At 35.0% G+C, this 15,943-nt stretch overlaps 1 long non-coding RNA gene across 1 annotated transcript in view; it reads right to left on the bottom strand.

The window, feature by feature from the left end:
* LOC105373153 (uncharacterized) overlaps nt 1–11,609 on the bottom strand; it is a 350,749-nt gene extending 339,140 nt beyond the window's left edge. Inside the window, exon 1 of the long non-coding RNA XR_950542.4 lies at nt 11,340–11,609. This is a non-coding gene — a long non-coding RNA (uncharacterized LOC105373153). The remainder of the gene's footprint in view (nt 1–11,339) is intronic.
* Nucleotides 11,610–15,943: the final 4,334 nt, after the last annotated feature.

Raw genomic sequence — 15,943 nt, 5'->3', positions numbered from 1 at the left:
CATTGAAGATAGATGACAGAAATTTAAAATAGGCAGGCTATGGATGACTCAATGAGAAGGTAAGAAACGTGAAAGAGGCGAGGGAGGACGACATGAACTTACATAAAGGGAAGTAACTTTAGGCAGGTAAAATAGTAAGTGCAAAAGTTCTGAAGTCGGTATGTGCTCGGAGTGTTTTACAAACAGCGAGAAGACCAGTTTGACTGGGTTTGATGAGCAAGTGTGAGATTAGCAGGAGATGAGGTTAGAGAGAAAGGGAGAAGGTATGGGCTGAATATGTGACTCACAGGCCATTGTAATGACTTACAATAGGCTTTTATTTTTAACGAAATGGGAGTCCATTAAGTATTTTGAATAGAGATGTATCTTTATCTGCCTTATATATTTAATTAATTAATTAAAATGTATTGCCTGTAGAGGAAATCCCTCTGATTACTGTTTTCAGAGTACTCCCGAGTGAGGCTACAAGTTGAAGCAGGAAGAATCCAAATACCTTTCAAAAATTTTAAATTCATACACAGTAAGAGTATTTTATATTGAGATTCAGGATATATGGACACACACATGTGTACATATACATCTAGACATATATGTCTACATGTTTATATATTTATAAATAAAACTGAAATACGTTTTACAAAAAATTGATCTATGCATTATGCAATTCAATATTTTCTATTATATTGCAAGGCATTGTTTTACTGCTATTTACAAGGCATAAATTAATTAATTTTATGGCTCACTAATGGGTTACAAACCAGTGAAAAACATATAGAAGGGTATGCAACATATCAGCAGAGTGATGATGATGGTTTGAATCAGGGAAGCAGCTATGGAGGTAGGAAGATATAGTCAGGTTCTGGATATATTTGAAGGTAAGGTATGAAAAATAAAGTGAATATTAAGGAATGATATTAAGAATGATGTTAAGAATAATTAAGTCTTGTGTCCTGCAAAACTGGAATATTGGTGCTGCTATTCACAGTGATGAAGACAGCATTTGGAAGACCATATCTGGTGGAGATGGGTAGGAGAGATTGAGCCATGTTTTCAACATATTAAGTTTGAAATATATATATATTTTATATTTACAAGAAGATCATGAGTAGGCCATTGACCCTAACAGGACTTCAAAAAAAATCTTTCAGTGAGTTAGGTCTTATTTATAGATCTCAAATGAATCATCTCTTCCTCAAATAAGCCCTCTCTACCCTCTTCCAAAGAAGCCAATTGTTGCTATTATAGGCACTAAAGCAACATGTATATTTCCTTGACACATCTGAAAGGTTATATCTCTGTGATTATTTGAGCAATGTTTTCCTACCTCCCCAAAAATACTGGAAGTTCCATAGAACGAGACTGTCTACTTACCGCTGTATTTCCAGCACCTAGGATATACCAGATGCTGAATAAATATCCTTATATTGCACACATATGCCCAAATACACATAAAGCGATCAGGTTGGAATGAGATACTGGAAAAAATTAGCCCCTATTTCAGTAAGGTAAATCATTTATGTCTGTTTCTGAATGGTTTAGGTTTTTGCAAGACAAGACACATAATCTTTGAGGATAGAATATTTTATGAGGCATGGGTATAGCTGGAGCAAACTGAGAAAGAGAAGGGGGTAGTAGGAAATGAGCGCAGAGACATGGGACTTCAAGTATGAAGCCTTGGTGATGGGCTTCCTGATTTTAATGTGGCTGAAGTGACGTTGGATGACTTACAAAGTTAGGTCATAAAAGATGTTATAGATTCTTCCTGGCTTTCTATTTTCTAACTATCAACTTGGACGCCAGCCTCTTTACTATGAAGAAGCCAAGCAGTAACGCAGAAAGGCCATGTATAAATGTTCTGATCACAAACCCAGCAAAGGTCTCAACTAGCAGCTAGTATCAACCACAAATACATGAGTGAGGAGGGAATACGTTTTTAGAAAATTCTAGTCCTCAGCCTTTGAGCCTCTCCCTATGATACCATCTGGGGCAGAGATCAGCTGTTTATGTCAAATGCTGCCTAAATTTACAAACTTGTAAACAAAATAAAGGCTGTCATTGTTTTAAGCCACTGCATTTTGAGGTGGCTTGTTATGCAGCAAAGTATTACCAGGTATTGCCTCCCAAATAAATTACGTTCCTTCAATTTCTTGTCTCAGAATCTACTTCCAGTTATGGATCTGTTACTAATTTTCTGTGTGACCTAGAGAGCATTCTGAATTTCATTTTCTTTTTTAAAAGTCTGGAATAAACTACTAAGTAGCTACTACCATCAGCAGTTCTAAAACTATTATCGTTTGGAGACCCAGTATTTGCCAAAAATTATCAAATGCATAGCCATTCCTGATTAAATAACTGATGAGGAGTAAACATTTTTGAGATACAGTTATAGCACAGCTGTTTCCAGAAGTCCATAATGTCAAGTCAAAGGCCAGCTTAGTGAGTAACAGAAGGAGGAAGCATACTAGTTTCTGAGTGAAAATTTCAGGCCAAGATAAAAATCCAAAAATTAGAATTGCAGACAGTAGTGGTCTCTTTAAGATGATCTATATAAATAGGAAATAAATTTGATATGGACCAAGTCTAGAAAGAAATGCTGATCATTCATTTTTATCGCAGACAGAAGCCAAAAGTAAAAATAAACAACTTCTACACACAGATTCATTTTGCCAAATACAACTGGGTTGTTGCCCAAATCTTCTCTTAACCATACAGAGCATCATTTTTTTCTTTACCATGTGACAAATTGCATTTCTAAAAATTATGACAGGAACATCTTCAATTCCACACATTCTTCCAGAACTTCGGTACTACCCGATCAAGAGGTATAATTTCTTTACCATTCCTTACCTCTGGGACTTAGCATGATGATCAGTGAGGATGAGAAAAATTAACCTCTTTACAAGATTCAATCTACGAAACTGATCTTGAGAAGCAAGGGATATTGATCATTTTAGATAGTTAACAGAAAAGTCTAACACATAGGTTTTAGCTCTAGCATTAGTAGATCATCATTACTGAGGCAACATTCCCTCTTCTCCCAGAACTCACCCAGTCTGAGGACACACCAGAAGGCAAGTGCATGCTTAAATTTAGATCATTCTAGTAGTCAAAAATTTCAAAGAGATCCCTAAAAAATATACATTTGGAAGAATAAGAAAATGTTGTGATTCAAATTATCCTTGATTGTGTAGAAAATGTTTCTTAGAAACATTTGCAGAACCCATGACAGGAATCTAAAAATATAAACTAAATTTCCAGTCTCCTAGGGAAAAATGCTTTCTCTGCATCCCTAAAATACACATATTTCTAACTGTGTTTTCTAAAATATCTCTGTTAAGAGAAAACTAATAGCCATGTTGATTCATGAAAGTTCTCTCATGCAATCGATGGATATTTCTATATAAAGTGATGACAGTACATAAAACATACATCTATAATAGAGTTCAGCATTCTCTGCTAAAGGAAACTACATGAAACTTCGTGGAAGGCTTATTTTTAGTGTAATACATATGTGCCATATTTGAGAACTTCTAAGATATAATAATCCATTCACAATTAAATTGGCGGAGTTTTGGTTAATTATACTATATTGTTCATATTCTAGTTGGACAGTTCATAAAATAAACGGCTTCACATATAAACCATGGAATACTATGCAGCCATAAAAAAGGATGAATTCATGTCCTTTGCAGGGACATGGATGAAGCTGGAAACCATTATTCTTAGCAAACTAACACAGGAAGAGAAAACCAAACATTGCATGTTCTCACTCATAAGTGGGAGTTGAACAATGAGAACACATGGACACAGGGAGGGGAACATCACACACCAGGGCCTGTCAGAGGGTGGGGGAGCTAGGGGAGGGATAGCATTAGGAGAAATACCTAATGTAGACGACAGGTTGATGGGTGCAGCAAACCACCATGGCACATGTATACCTATGTAACAAACCTACACGTTCTGCACATGTATCCCAGAACTTAAAGTATAATTTAAAAAATAATAATAAATGGCTTTAGCAGGTAATCTGAAAAAAACTCTTTGACATGATATTATTTGAATGTCTCATATCTCCTTAGGTGCAAATGCATTCTGTGGTGTAGAGTAACTGAACATTCTGCAGGAGTCCATGGAATTCTTTTACTCTGGACAATATCCTAAGGGAACAATATCTGAAATTTGTATGAGCCAGTTAAGCAGTCATCTAGATGTAAATGGCTCATCTAAAGAGAGGTATTCTAACCTCTCTAACCCCAACATTTTTGAATAAGAAAATGTTAGGAAATCTATTTTTATATTTGTTGAAATAAATACAACAGTTTAGAATTGGAATATGGAAGACTATAAGATGATTATTGCTTGATCATCTTCACAGACAGTTTCCAGGCAGACTTCAAACTAACTTTTGAAAATGTTTTCAATAGAATAAAATAATGAGCAACCTTTCTAGCTACCTACTCTATCAGCCTTTAGAAGCTTAAGAAGCTCAGAAGCTCACAAAATCTTCCTTCACTTTTATAATGTCATAGTTTCCCCTTTGTGTGTTCATACACATTTTTATACAGTTGCTTAAACAATATATACACTCACATAATACAGGGTTTTATTTTTTCCCTGAAATACTATAAATATCAAACTATAATTTGCTTGTTTCATACAGCATTCCACAAATATATCTAAAAATATTTACATGTAACTTTAATCTATGCTTATTTTAAAAAACGGAATATGACACAGAAAGATACATACATAAAAATACATGAATCATAAATGCAGAGCTTCATTACTTTTTACACAATTAACATTGAGTATATCGATCACCCAGATCAAGATATAGGCATTTTAATAATCTCACAAGCATTTTTGTTACCTGGTCCCGAACATTGCTTCCCTCTAAAGGTAACCACTTTTATCGTGTAACACCATAAATTGGTTCTACCTGGTTTTCTATTAGCATAGGTTGGGTTTTCTCTACTTTTAACCCTTGCATAAATATAATTACATAATACACACCTTCTATGTTTGGTTTCTTTCACTCAAATTATGTCTGTGAAGTCCACGCATGGTATTGCATGTATCAGTAGTCCATTCATTTCTATTTCTGTATAGCATTCATTTATTTGAATAGAGCCATGTATCTTTATTAATTTTAATGTTGCGGCATATAAGGGTTGTTTCTAATTGTGGCTATTATGACAAACACTGCACTGAACCTTACTGTTCCTATCTTTTGATTAATCTATCTTAAAGGTGGAATTTATATGTCATGCAGAATGCAACATTTTTGTTTTAGTATATTCTACCAATAGTTTGTCAAAGCAGGAGGGTCAATTTTCACTTCCATAAACAGTGTGGAAGGGTTTTCCAATCACATCACACTTACAACAATACTTAGTATTTTCAGTTCTGTTTTTTTTTTTTTTAATTTTGATTATGGCCATTACAATGGGTATGTAGTTGTTTTGCTTTGTGGTTTTAATATTAATTACTTGATGCTTTTACAATGTTAAACATCCTTTCATTTTTTTTTTTAAGAGACAAAGTCTCCCCTAGGTTATCCTGGCTGGACACAAACTCCTGGGCTCAAGTGACTCTCTTGTGTCAGCCTCCTGAGTAGATGGGACTACAGGCAAGTGCTCTGTATCTGGTTCTTTCATATTTTTATTGGTCATTCTGATATCTTTTTGGTGCAACATATTTTAAAATCTTTCACTTATTTTGTTAAAAATAGATTTTTATTGATTGTTATGAGTTTTTAAAATATATTCTGGATACTAGCTTTTTTTTTTTAAACGTATACACAAATATCATTTCCCATTCTCTGATTTCCTTTTTCAGTCTCTCTGTCTCTTAGTGAGGTCTTCTGATGAATAAAATTTCTTGTTTTAATGAAGCCAATATGACAATACAACAGTGTGGATTTGGAATAAGGAAGATTTTAAAGATTTTAATAGTTTCCTTTTCATTGCCTTGATCATCTTCACCAGACAGTTTCCAGGCAGACTTCAAACTAACTTTTGAAAATGTTTTTAAAGAATGAAATAATAAGCAACATTTCTAGTTACCTACTCTATCAGCCTTTAGAAGCTTAAGCAGCTCAGAGGCTCATAAACTATTCCTTCACTTTTATAATCTCATAGTGTCTCTTTTGTGTGTTCATATGTATGTTTTCTGTAGTTGCTTATTTAAACAAAACACACACTCATATAGAGTTTTATTTTTTCAATGAGATACTATAAATATTAAAGTATAATTTGCTTGCTTAATATAACATTTCATTAACATATTATTTCCCACTCTGTGATCTCCTAGTGAAGCCTTCTGATGAGTAAAATTTCTTGCTTTAATGAAGCCAATATGCCAATATTTTTAAGCTGGTGATTTTATATCTTGTTTAAAAAATGTCCCCACCAAGGTCATGAAACTATTCTCTTATGTTATCTTCTAGAATTATTTCTTTCACAGCTTTCACATTTAAGTCTAAAATCTAATCTCCAGTTGATCCCACATAATTTATAGAAAAGACGATTCATTCCCTACTGAACTTCAGTGTCACCTTTGCTGTAAATCAGGTAACTATATATGTGTGAGCCTGTTTTTAGACTCTCTCTTATGTTCCATTGTTCTAGTTATCTGTATTCACACCAAAAACACACTGTTTGAATTTCAATTGTTTCATAATAATTGGTAATATCTGTTAGTATAAAATTTCCCACTTTGTTCTTTTTAAGATTGTCGTGGCTATGTTGGACCTTTGCATGTCCACATAAATTTTTATAATGTGCGCACACACACACACGCACACTCCTGATGGGGTTGATTAGGATTTCAGTGACTCTACAGATCAATTTTTGAGAGTTTACATCTTTATAATGTTGATTCTGCCAACCCATGAGCATGACATAGTTTTCCATTTAGATACGTTTTCTTTAAATCCTCTCATTCATAATATATGTTTCTGCTTAGGTATCTCAAACATATTTTATACATTTATTTATTTTTGATTTATTGATGGCATTATTTTAAAAAAATACCACTTTCTAACTGTTTACTCTTGAAAATTACAATTAACTTTTGGATATTCACATGGTATCCAGAAACCTCATTAAATCCACTTATTAATTCTAATATTTTATCTGATGGTTCTTCGAATTTTCTATGCATGTTTAGTCTGTAAATAATAAAAGCTTTTTTCGCTCTAACTGTATACCTTTAATTTCATTTTCCTGACTTATTATATTAAGTAGTATATTAATTAAATACATTGTTGTAGATTACTTATAGATACTTTTTATCAGATCAAGTTACATCTCTTCTACTTCCAGTTTCCCAGGAAGGGTGTGTGTGTGTTTGTGTGTGTGTGCACGCGAGAGTGCACGTGTTCATGTGAGGGAATTAATTTTTTCCAATACTTTTTTTATATTTGTTTTCATCCTTCATATTTTTAATGTGATGGGTCACATCAATTGGTTTTCAAGTGTTACAATGAGATAACATCTCATCCCAGTTAAAATGGCTTTTATCCAAAAGACAGGTGATAACAAATGCTGGTGAGAATGTGGAGAAAAGGGAACCCTCTTATACTGTTGATGGAAATGTAAATTAGAACCACCACTATGTAGAACACTTTGGAAGTTCCTCAGAAAACTGAAAATAGACCTGCTATATAATTCAGCAATCTCATTGCTAGGTATACATCCAAAAGAAAGGAAATCAGTATATAAAAGAGATAACTGCACTCTCTTGTTTATTGCAGCACTAGTCACAATAGCCAAGATTTGGAAGCAACGTAAGTGTCCATCAACAGATGAATGGATAAAGAAAATGTCGTGCTTATACAAAATGGAGAACTATCCAGCCATAAAAAGAATGATACCCTGTCATTTGCAACAACATGGATCGAACCGGAGGTCATTATGTTAAGTGAAATAAGCCAGGCACAGCAAGACAAACTTTGCATGTTCTTGCTTATTTGTGGGAGCTAAAAATTAAAACAATTAAACTCATCAAGATAGAAAGTAGAATGATGGTTACCAGAGGATGGGAAGGGTAATGGGATGGAGAGTGGGGATGGTTAATAGGTACAAAAGTATAGTTAGATAGAATGAATAAGATCTGTATTTGTTTGCAAAACAGGGTGACTACAGTAAACAATAATTTGTTGTACACTGTAAAATAACTTAAAGAGTATAATTGGATTGTCTGTAACACAAAGAAAGGATAAATGCTTGAGGTGATAGATCCAACATTTACCCTGATGTGATTATTATGTATTGTGTGCCTGTATTGAAATATCTCATATAACCTATAAATAGATATACCTACTCTGTACCCACAAAAATTAAAAATTAAAACAAAATTCTGAAATGAAAAAGAAAAAAAATGACGTTTCCTTGCCCAAATACACCCAGTTTTGTTGTGATATATTGTTCTTCGAATATAGCACTGTATTTAGTCCGATAATAATTTGTATAAGGTACATAACATACTTTTAGCAGGTACTAAATACCCCATTATTTGGTATAATCAGATTGCTTCAGTGAGTTCTGAGTTGAAAGACATTTAGAGTGATTTCAATGAATGTATTCTTTTAGACACGGCTTCAGTAAACAATCTTACATATATCCTTACATACTAGTGATTTTATTTTTGATAGATTCTTAAGGAGGGATTGATGGGCAAAAGATTGTGGACTTTTCCATAGCTGTTCTCAGGTTACTTTCTTAAAATATTGTATCAATACTTCACCAGTAGAGATTATTAAGAGCTTCTTTTCTCACACCCATTCCAGCACTGAATGTTATTCCATCTGTTTGTTTTCTCGTCCAGCTCATGGGCAGGAAATGTTATTTCATTTTGCCTTTTTGACTATGAGAATATTGACTACTTCCTCATAATTGTATTGGTTATTTGCCTGTCCTCTTTTGTGGTTTTTCTGTTCAGATTATATATTTTTTAAATTGTATTTCTGTCTTCAAATCAATTTGTAGACTTGTATTAAAATAGAGATATTAAGTCTTTGTGATAGATATTCTAAGTGTATTTTCTCAGTTTATTGTCTTTTTGCTCTATTGTAACATCTTTGGCTTTATAGAAATATTTATTTTTTATGTAGTAGCAAGTGTCATTTTTCTTTCTTTCTTTTTTTTTTTTGAGATGGAGTGGCCCAGGCTGAAGCGTGATGGCCCAATCTCAGCTCACTGCAACCTCTGCCTCCTGGGTTCAAGTGATTCTCCTGCCTCAGCCTCCAGAGTAGTTGGGATTACAGGCTGGCGCCAACACGCCTGGCTAATTTTTGTATTTTTAGTAGAGATGTGGTTTTGCCACTTTGGCCAGGCTGGTCTTGAACTCCTGGCCTCAAGTGATCTGCCAGCCTTGACCTCCCAAAGTGCTGGCATTACAGGTGTGAGCAACTGCCCCAGGCCCATTTTTCTCCTTAAAGTCATCTGGAATTAGTGTTTGGGTTAAGAATGCCCCATAACTCAAACTGCTATAGATTCATCACTTATTTGGTTTCATTTTTGTATAGTTGAATCTGTAATCTATCTAGAATTTTTTTAGTTTAAGTTAGGAAAGTCTAACTTTATGAAAAGATAATCATTATATATTCAGTTTTTTAATGAATGAATTAAAATGTCATATTTAGTACATTCCCTTTGGCTGGATCTATTTCTGAGTACTACTTTGTTTTTCCATTTTGTCTCTTCCTGTTCCAATACCATATTCTTCTAATAGTAGTGGCTTGATGATATAAAATGTACTATGTCACAACCCTTTTTTTTTTTAAATTCTGGATAATTTTCATACTTTTATACCTCTCTTTAATAGGAGCTGTGCTATAATTCTAAATATTTCCCACTTGAAATTGCTAAAAATAGAACTGACGAGTCTAAAAAAAATGGGCACTTGGGAAACCTAAGAGGTCTTCTGTCAACAAAGATTTCCAATAGGCATAAATTCTCAAGATCAAGATCTAATTGAAAGGTACCCAGTTGACAATCCATCCTGAGAGTCAGCGCAGGTTGAATCTAAGAAAATTCTGTAGTCAAGACTAACCACTAAGTTTTTGTCAAAATAAAGTATCCACTGCCATGAAAAGGGTCAACTTGGCAATGAAAAACAGGACGGCAAACATATTAGGTTTTTATTAAAGGTATTATAATAGGAATGGAACAGAGTCGCTGGCAAAATTGTCTTAAAGAAGGCGCCAAATTGACTGTGTACAGGCCATTTTATCAATGTTTTTAAAACTTGGTTGCACATTGGAATCACCAGAACAATTAATCGGCATCTCTGGGTGTGGAAACCAGGAAACAGTTTTTTGGTAAAACTCCACAGATGATTCCAATGTCTAGTCATAGTCGAGAGCCAGTGTTTTAGAAAAGGATAAGCATCTACTTTGAATGAAAATGCAGACGAAAACAAGAAAAGAAAATCCTTAGCTATTGCTAGGTCCCTTGCCAAGTTCCTCTTGCAAAGTTAATTTTTCTTCAGTAGATGATGGATAGGATTTAAAGTTATTGGGCTACTGCAGGAAGAAATGCAGGATGAGTTATGTGTGTGGGGAGGTGGGGGAGGGAGTAAGGATACTAACCAAATGAAAGTCACTTCTGAAATTTTTAGAAAATAAAGTCATACGAGCTGTTTATAGTCCAATCTAATTCTAGCCTCAGTGGTGGGAGGAAGGAATGGAGGAGGCAGTCAGAGTGAACATATGCACTGAGAGAAGAGTGGGTAGCTTTGGTGAAATCTCCTAAGAAAATGGATAGTCCTTGGCATATATTACCCATGTCTGGTCAGTGCACTCAAGTCAGGATACAAAAGTGGGGTACACACGTGTAAGTGACCCAGATAGCTAAAACCAGTGACCCTTCTTGTCAGTGTAGTCATCTTCTAAGTGGCAATGCTAAATCATTCATGACCTCATGTGCTGCTTTTGGCAAGCGGCTCCCTAATTGCTCCTGTTTTTGCATCGATTCTGCGCAGCGTGGAAAAGCGAGTCGTCAACTTGCTTGTGGGTGTATTGACCACCAGGTCCCTCCTCAGCTTTCACCTTCCAGGCCTCGCCCACTCTATTTTAGAGCCAGGAGCTGGGAACAGCACCTGTTTTTCGTCTCTAAGGATGGGGTGGGCATTTTGACGGCGCCCTCTTTCAACCAACCCACGCTAAGGTGTCTGTGTTTCTGCGTTTTCAAGCTCCCCCCAGCCGCCCCGCGCCCCCCGCATCCCCATCTCCGTGGCTGAGGGCCTAGGGAGGAGGGAAAATCCATCCTCAGACACACTAGATCCTCAGCGAGACCTGCTGTGGAGAGCATCAAACGGACCGCACGCGGACCCACCTGCCTTCCAAAGTTTGGGGCGTGAGGAAGCTGAGGCACGTGGCGTTTGGTTATGGCACAGCTGAGGGGTCTGCAGGAGACCCCAGAAAATGCCGCTGAGGACGGATTCACCGACGTCATCAAAAGCCGCGCTGGTAGGACCCCCGCTGCCTTGCTTTTTAGTGTCTGGGTTATTCACTGTACCCTGCTACTCTCCGCAGAGGCTGTGCCCTGGAAGTTGGCACGGGTTGGGGAAAGTTGTGGCGCCCAGCAGAGGAGCAGCAGGGGACTGTCAGGGCGCCCCCGCGCGTGGGGAGGGCGGGGAACCACGCAGGGCGCGGCGTTCCAGGGATAAGGGAGTGCTGCTCTCAGGGAAAGCAGAAACCCAACTTTTCCTTTTAGGCCAAGTGGATATCAGTGGGGGGTTTATTTATTATTTTTTAAAGAAAGCCCACTGAATATTGAATTTTGTTATAGGATGGTAGGCTGTTTTAAAAATTAAACACAAAGGATTGGTCAGATTGAGTTAAAATAAATATTGTGGTAGCTTGAGGAAGGGAGGGAGGGCCGGCGAAGGACAGCTTGCCTTGTCAGGGCGTGGCCAAGTGCAGAGTTAAGAAATCTGAGAAGTTTCACCTCAGCTGTGCTGAAGGAAAACGTCAGAGCGCTAGACAGGAAGACTTGCATGCCCGAGGTACAACTATACGAGTTGAAAATCAGTAAAGCAGCAGAAGTGAGGAGTCTAAGGTTTTTGCAGCGCTTCCCACCCCCATGCACGTGTAAATTTCATTTGTAATAAATCTTCTGGTGTTTGGTAGTCTGGCCTACATATGCAAACTCTTGTAAACCAGGATACGTTTTTAAAGCTGTAAATGGAAGCAGCTGTTAAGCTCTCTCTAAGGATGAAGTTTTTCAGCTGCCTGAGCCCGCTCCTTTCGCCTTTGGACACGCAGCAAATTGTGGACGTTAAAATCACAGGACCATTCAAGATTTCTTTATGTACATTGCTGGATGCTGAAGAGGACAGAGGTATGAAGTCACTGTCCAAGTATATTTCTGAAGTGAGGTTAAAGGAAAGATCACAAAAGAAAACGAAAGTTAGTAAGAAACACCAGGAGTTGTGTAAATTGCACACCAGCAAAGTGTTCAGAAGATAGCAGAGCAGAATTTCTTCAGAACTTTAGTAAGGTATTTTTACAAGTAGTACGAGTTGATAATGATAGCTATAAGTCACAAAACAATGGTGCTTCGGACAGTTTTGGGGAGAAATCAGTTATTTCGAATTTAAAACCACAGTTTCCTTCTTTTTTCACTCCATTATTTAGGTTATTTAACAAGCTTCTTAGATTTTAAAGTGAAGAATGGAAAACTTTCTTAAATAGAATGCCCTTAGCATTCAGCTCCAAGGTTAATAGAACTGGCTTTAAGTAGATACCCTAAAATAATAATGTGAAAAAAATATGTTGGGTAGTTTCATACATTGCTTTAAAATTGCTATTGTTTATACATGTTATTGGACGATAACCTTGCAGCTATAATTATCTGAAAAATGCAGAGGGATATCTACTATAAATCTGTTGCAGATCATTGTTTTGGAAAAAATGTGTTAATTTAGGAATTAATTCTACAAATTAATTCTATTTATCATTATGCTACATCTAAACTTGCCAGAACATGGGGGAAATAAGAAAAGGATCCACAAAGATATTCTGAAAACGACATTCATGCAAATTTGTGTGTCTTGGAAATGGGTAGTTTAAATTCATATCTAAAGAAAAATTAATCTACGTATATGTAACATTCCATACTAGATTCTACTATTGAGAGTCACTTTAAAAATGCAATAATTGAATTGTTATATTTTTATCTGTGAAATTCAGCTTTTGTTAGGAATCTAAATCAGGTGGGGTGTGTTGTCACTCATTACAAAGAGTAATATATAGATGGTCCAACAGGTTATCTAATTTTCAATATATATCTTTGTATTTTTGATAGGTCATTTCCTTTAAGGGTTTAGAGTCCCTCAAGTAAAGGATAAACTAATATTTGCTTTGAATATTTTAGTTTCTGTACATTTATAAAACCAGCATTTTTGTTATACATGTATATATATATACACACACGCACATATGTGTATATATATAAATATGTTACAGTTTTGATATTGTTTTGTTAATTCTAAAGTTAAAGGGTGGCTACTATTACTAAAGATTTTTTTTCTTTTGTAGCCACTTGTTGTGCACAGCAAAAATATAATGTGGTGGGGCAAACAGTAATACCAGAAAAAGCACACTTAAAAATTTGTTTAGATTGTGTCTAGACCTAGTTAAATGTCAGGGGAAATTTAGACAACAAGAGCGTGTTGTAACAATGCCTCGAGGGATATAAAAATAAATTTTATGTAAGGTGTTTAAACATATTTTTGTAGCGCTATTGAAGATTTTTTTACGTTGTAATCAGAATTTTTTAAAATTGAAGACAGAGATGATTATAATGTACATTGATAATACAAGTTTGTGCTTCATTAGATTGATTTTATACATTAGTCTCAGCTCATCATTTGATGAGGAGTCATAGCAATGTGAAACTTTGACAATTATTTTTTCTCCCGTCACAACTGCATACTCTTAATTCATTTCCTCAAGGAACAATGCTTTTGACTGATTATGGTTGATGTACGTGACTTCAACAATCATAATGTGAGTACTACCCATGGGAAGCCCTGTGCTTTGGGAGAAAATTGTTTATTACAAAATGAATAACCTGAAACAGAAACAGAACTTTTACACTTTCAGACATAAACTACAGTTAACCTAAGGGTAAAATCTCAGTGTTTAAAAGCATTTCAAGACAATGAATTTGCAATTGTCTTTTCTTGCTTGGAAACAGCAAATATGGGTATTTGATCTATTGATTTGGATGCTTTCCTGTAATTAGAAATATCCCAGTGTAACATATACAGCTCCATGCTGTTAATCTTTTAAAATCAGTTGTAAATTTAATTAGCCCTGATTTCTCTTATGACATTTTTGTGGTTTGTAATCATTTAGCATCTTGCTACATCTTTAGATCTTTTACTGGCATAGGATAATACATGAATAATTGAATAAAATGTACCTATGGGTTTGTGTCATGAAAGGTTTTTTGAAATAAACTCAGATTTTTTTTTCAGAAGAAAATCAGCTAAGTAGTTTTTATCTTTAAAAAAAAGGAATAAAGATTATCTTTGATCTGATCTTGAGGTCTACTATAAAAAGATCTTTCTGGTGACCAATTTCACATTGATATAATTCATATTTTATTACAAATCCCAACTATAAAAGATTGCTATATCCAAAGGTAGGTAGATAGATTTTATTTTATCCATACATCATGATTATAAAGAGCTCATTACAAAGAGTAATATATAAATGGTAGACAAAATAACTATTTTGAAACACATTAGATTTATACCTTTAGTATTTTACCTATCCTTACTTAAAACAAGAATATAATGTAATTGAACTTATTTTTTCAGTTTGAGCTAATGCTCTTAAATTGTAACCTTATAGTACTATACCACTAACAATTAGATACTCTCAGAATAATACAAACGTCAAATTTGACAAAGCTACTGGGGATTTTACAAGGGAAAATGTGAGCGAGAAATCAGAGACATTTTGAAAGGCATGTTCTTTTCAGAACTGCACACTATTACATTTGAAAATATTTTCTTACTAGGCCATTCAATATCTGTAGTCACTTTGGTAATGAAGCCTGTACTTATCCATCCCAGGAAAATTATATTCTCGTATCATCCCAAAAAAGCAGGTAATTCATTGTTTATGTTTGTAGAAGACCTGCTTTGGTGAGTAAAAACAAAAACAAACAAAAATCTTCAGTGTTAAGATTTCGCTTTGCGTGAATATGTGAGAATTCTTCTGCACAGAGACTTTACTAGGGAAGTTGTAGGTAATACTTTTCATAGATAATAACTACTAAAGTATTTTGTACTATATTGTAAGTTTCACTCTCATTAGGTAATTGGGTATGAGAGCAGTCCTATTGCAAGATTAGTTAGAAGACTAGAGAATCGTGCATTCTCATTCCCGATCACAGATAGAGTTACGGATATTTGTGAGAGCTAAAACATTTTTCCATGCAAGTTATTTAACGTTATAACCACATTGTTTTCAAATCTATGTATTAAATTTTATCTGATATGAGAGTGAATTAGATTATATTCTTTCCTACGAGGAGACATTTGGAAATTATGCGTATTGAGTTAATGAGTGCATTTGGCTTGAGACAGGACAACTTCTAAGTTCCTACTGAAAGTTTTACATAAATTATGATAGCTACTTTCAATTTAATAAATGTAGCCAATTTATCTTGACAGTCAATAATTCTGAGCTCTAAGTTCCTGTCTATATAAACTCTGTTCTCTGTTACAATGAAATTGAAAGTAAAAACAATGAACTCTAATAGTTTCGTGAAACTGTAGTTAGTAATTAGGGGACTATCTAGTGGTGTGCTGAGGCTGTTTGGAATTGACTCATGAGATTCAATGGTGTGAATCTTTTCCTAACTCTGCATTCAGTGACATCATATTGGTATTTTAAAATTATCATGGTGGGTGACATGGT

The sequence above is a fragment of the Homo sapiens genome, chromosome X (genome assembly GCF_000001405.40).
Source record: "Homo sapiens chromosome X, GRCh38.p14 Primary Assembly".
NCBI classification, from domain to species: Eukaryota; Metazoa; Chordata; class Mammalia; order Primates; family Hominidae; genus Homo; species Homo sapiens.
This window is presented reverse-complemented; position numbering and strand designations above follow the sequence as displayed.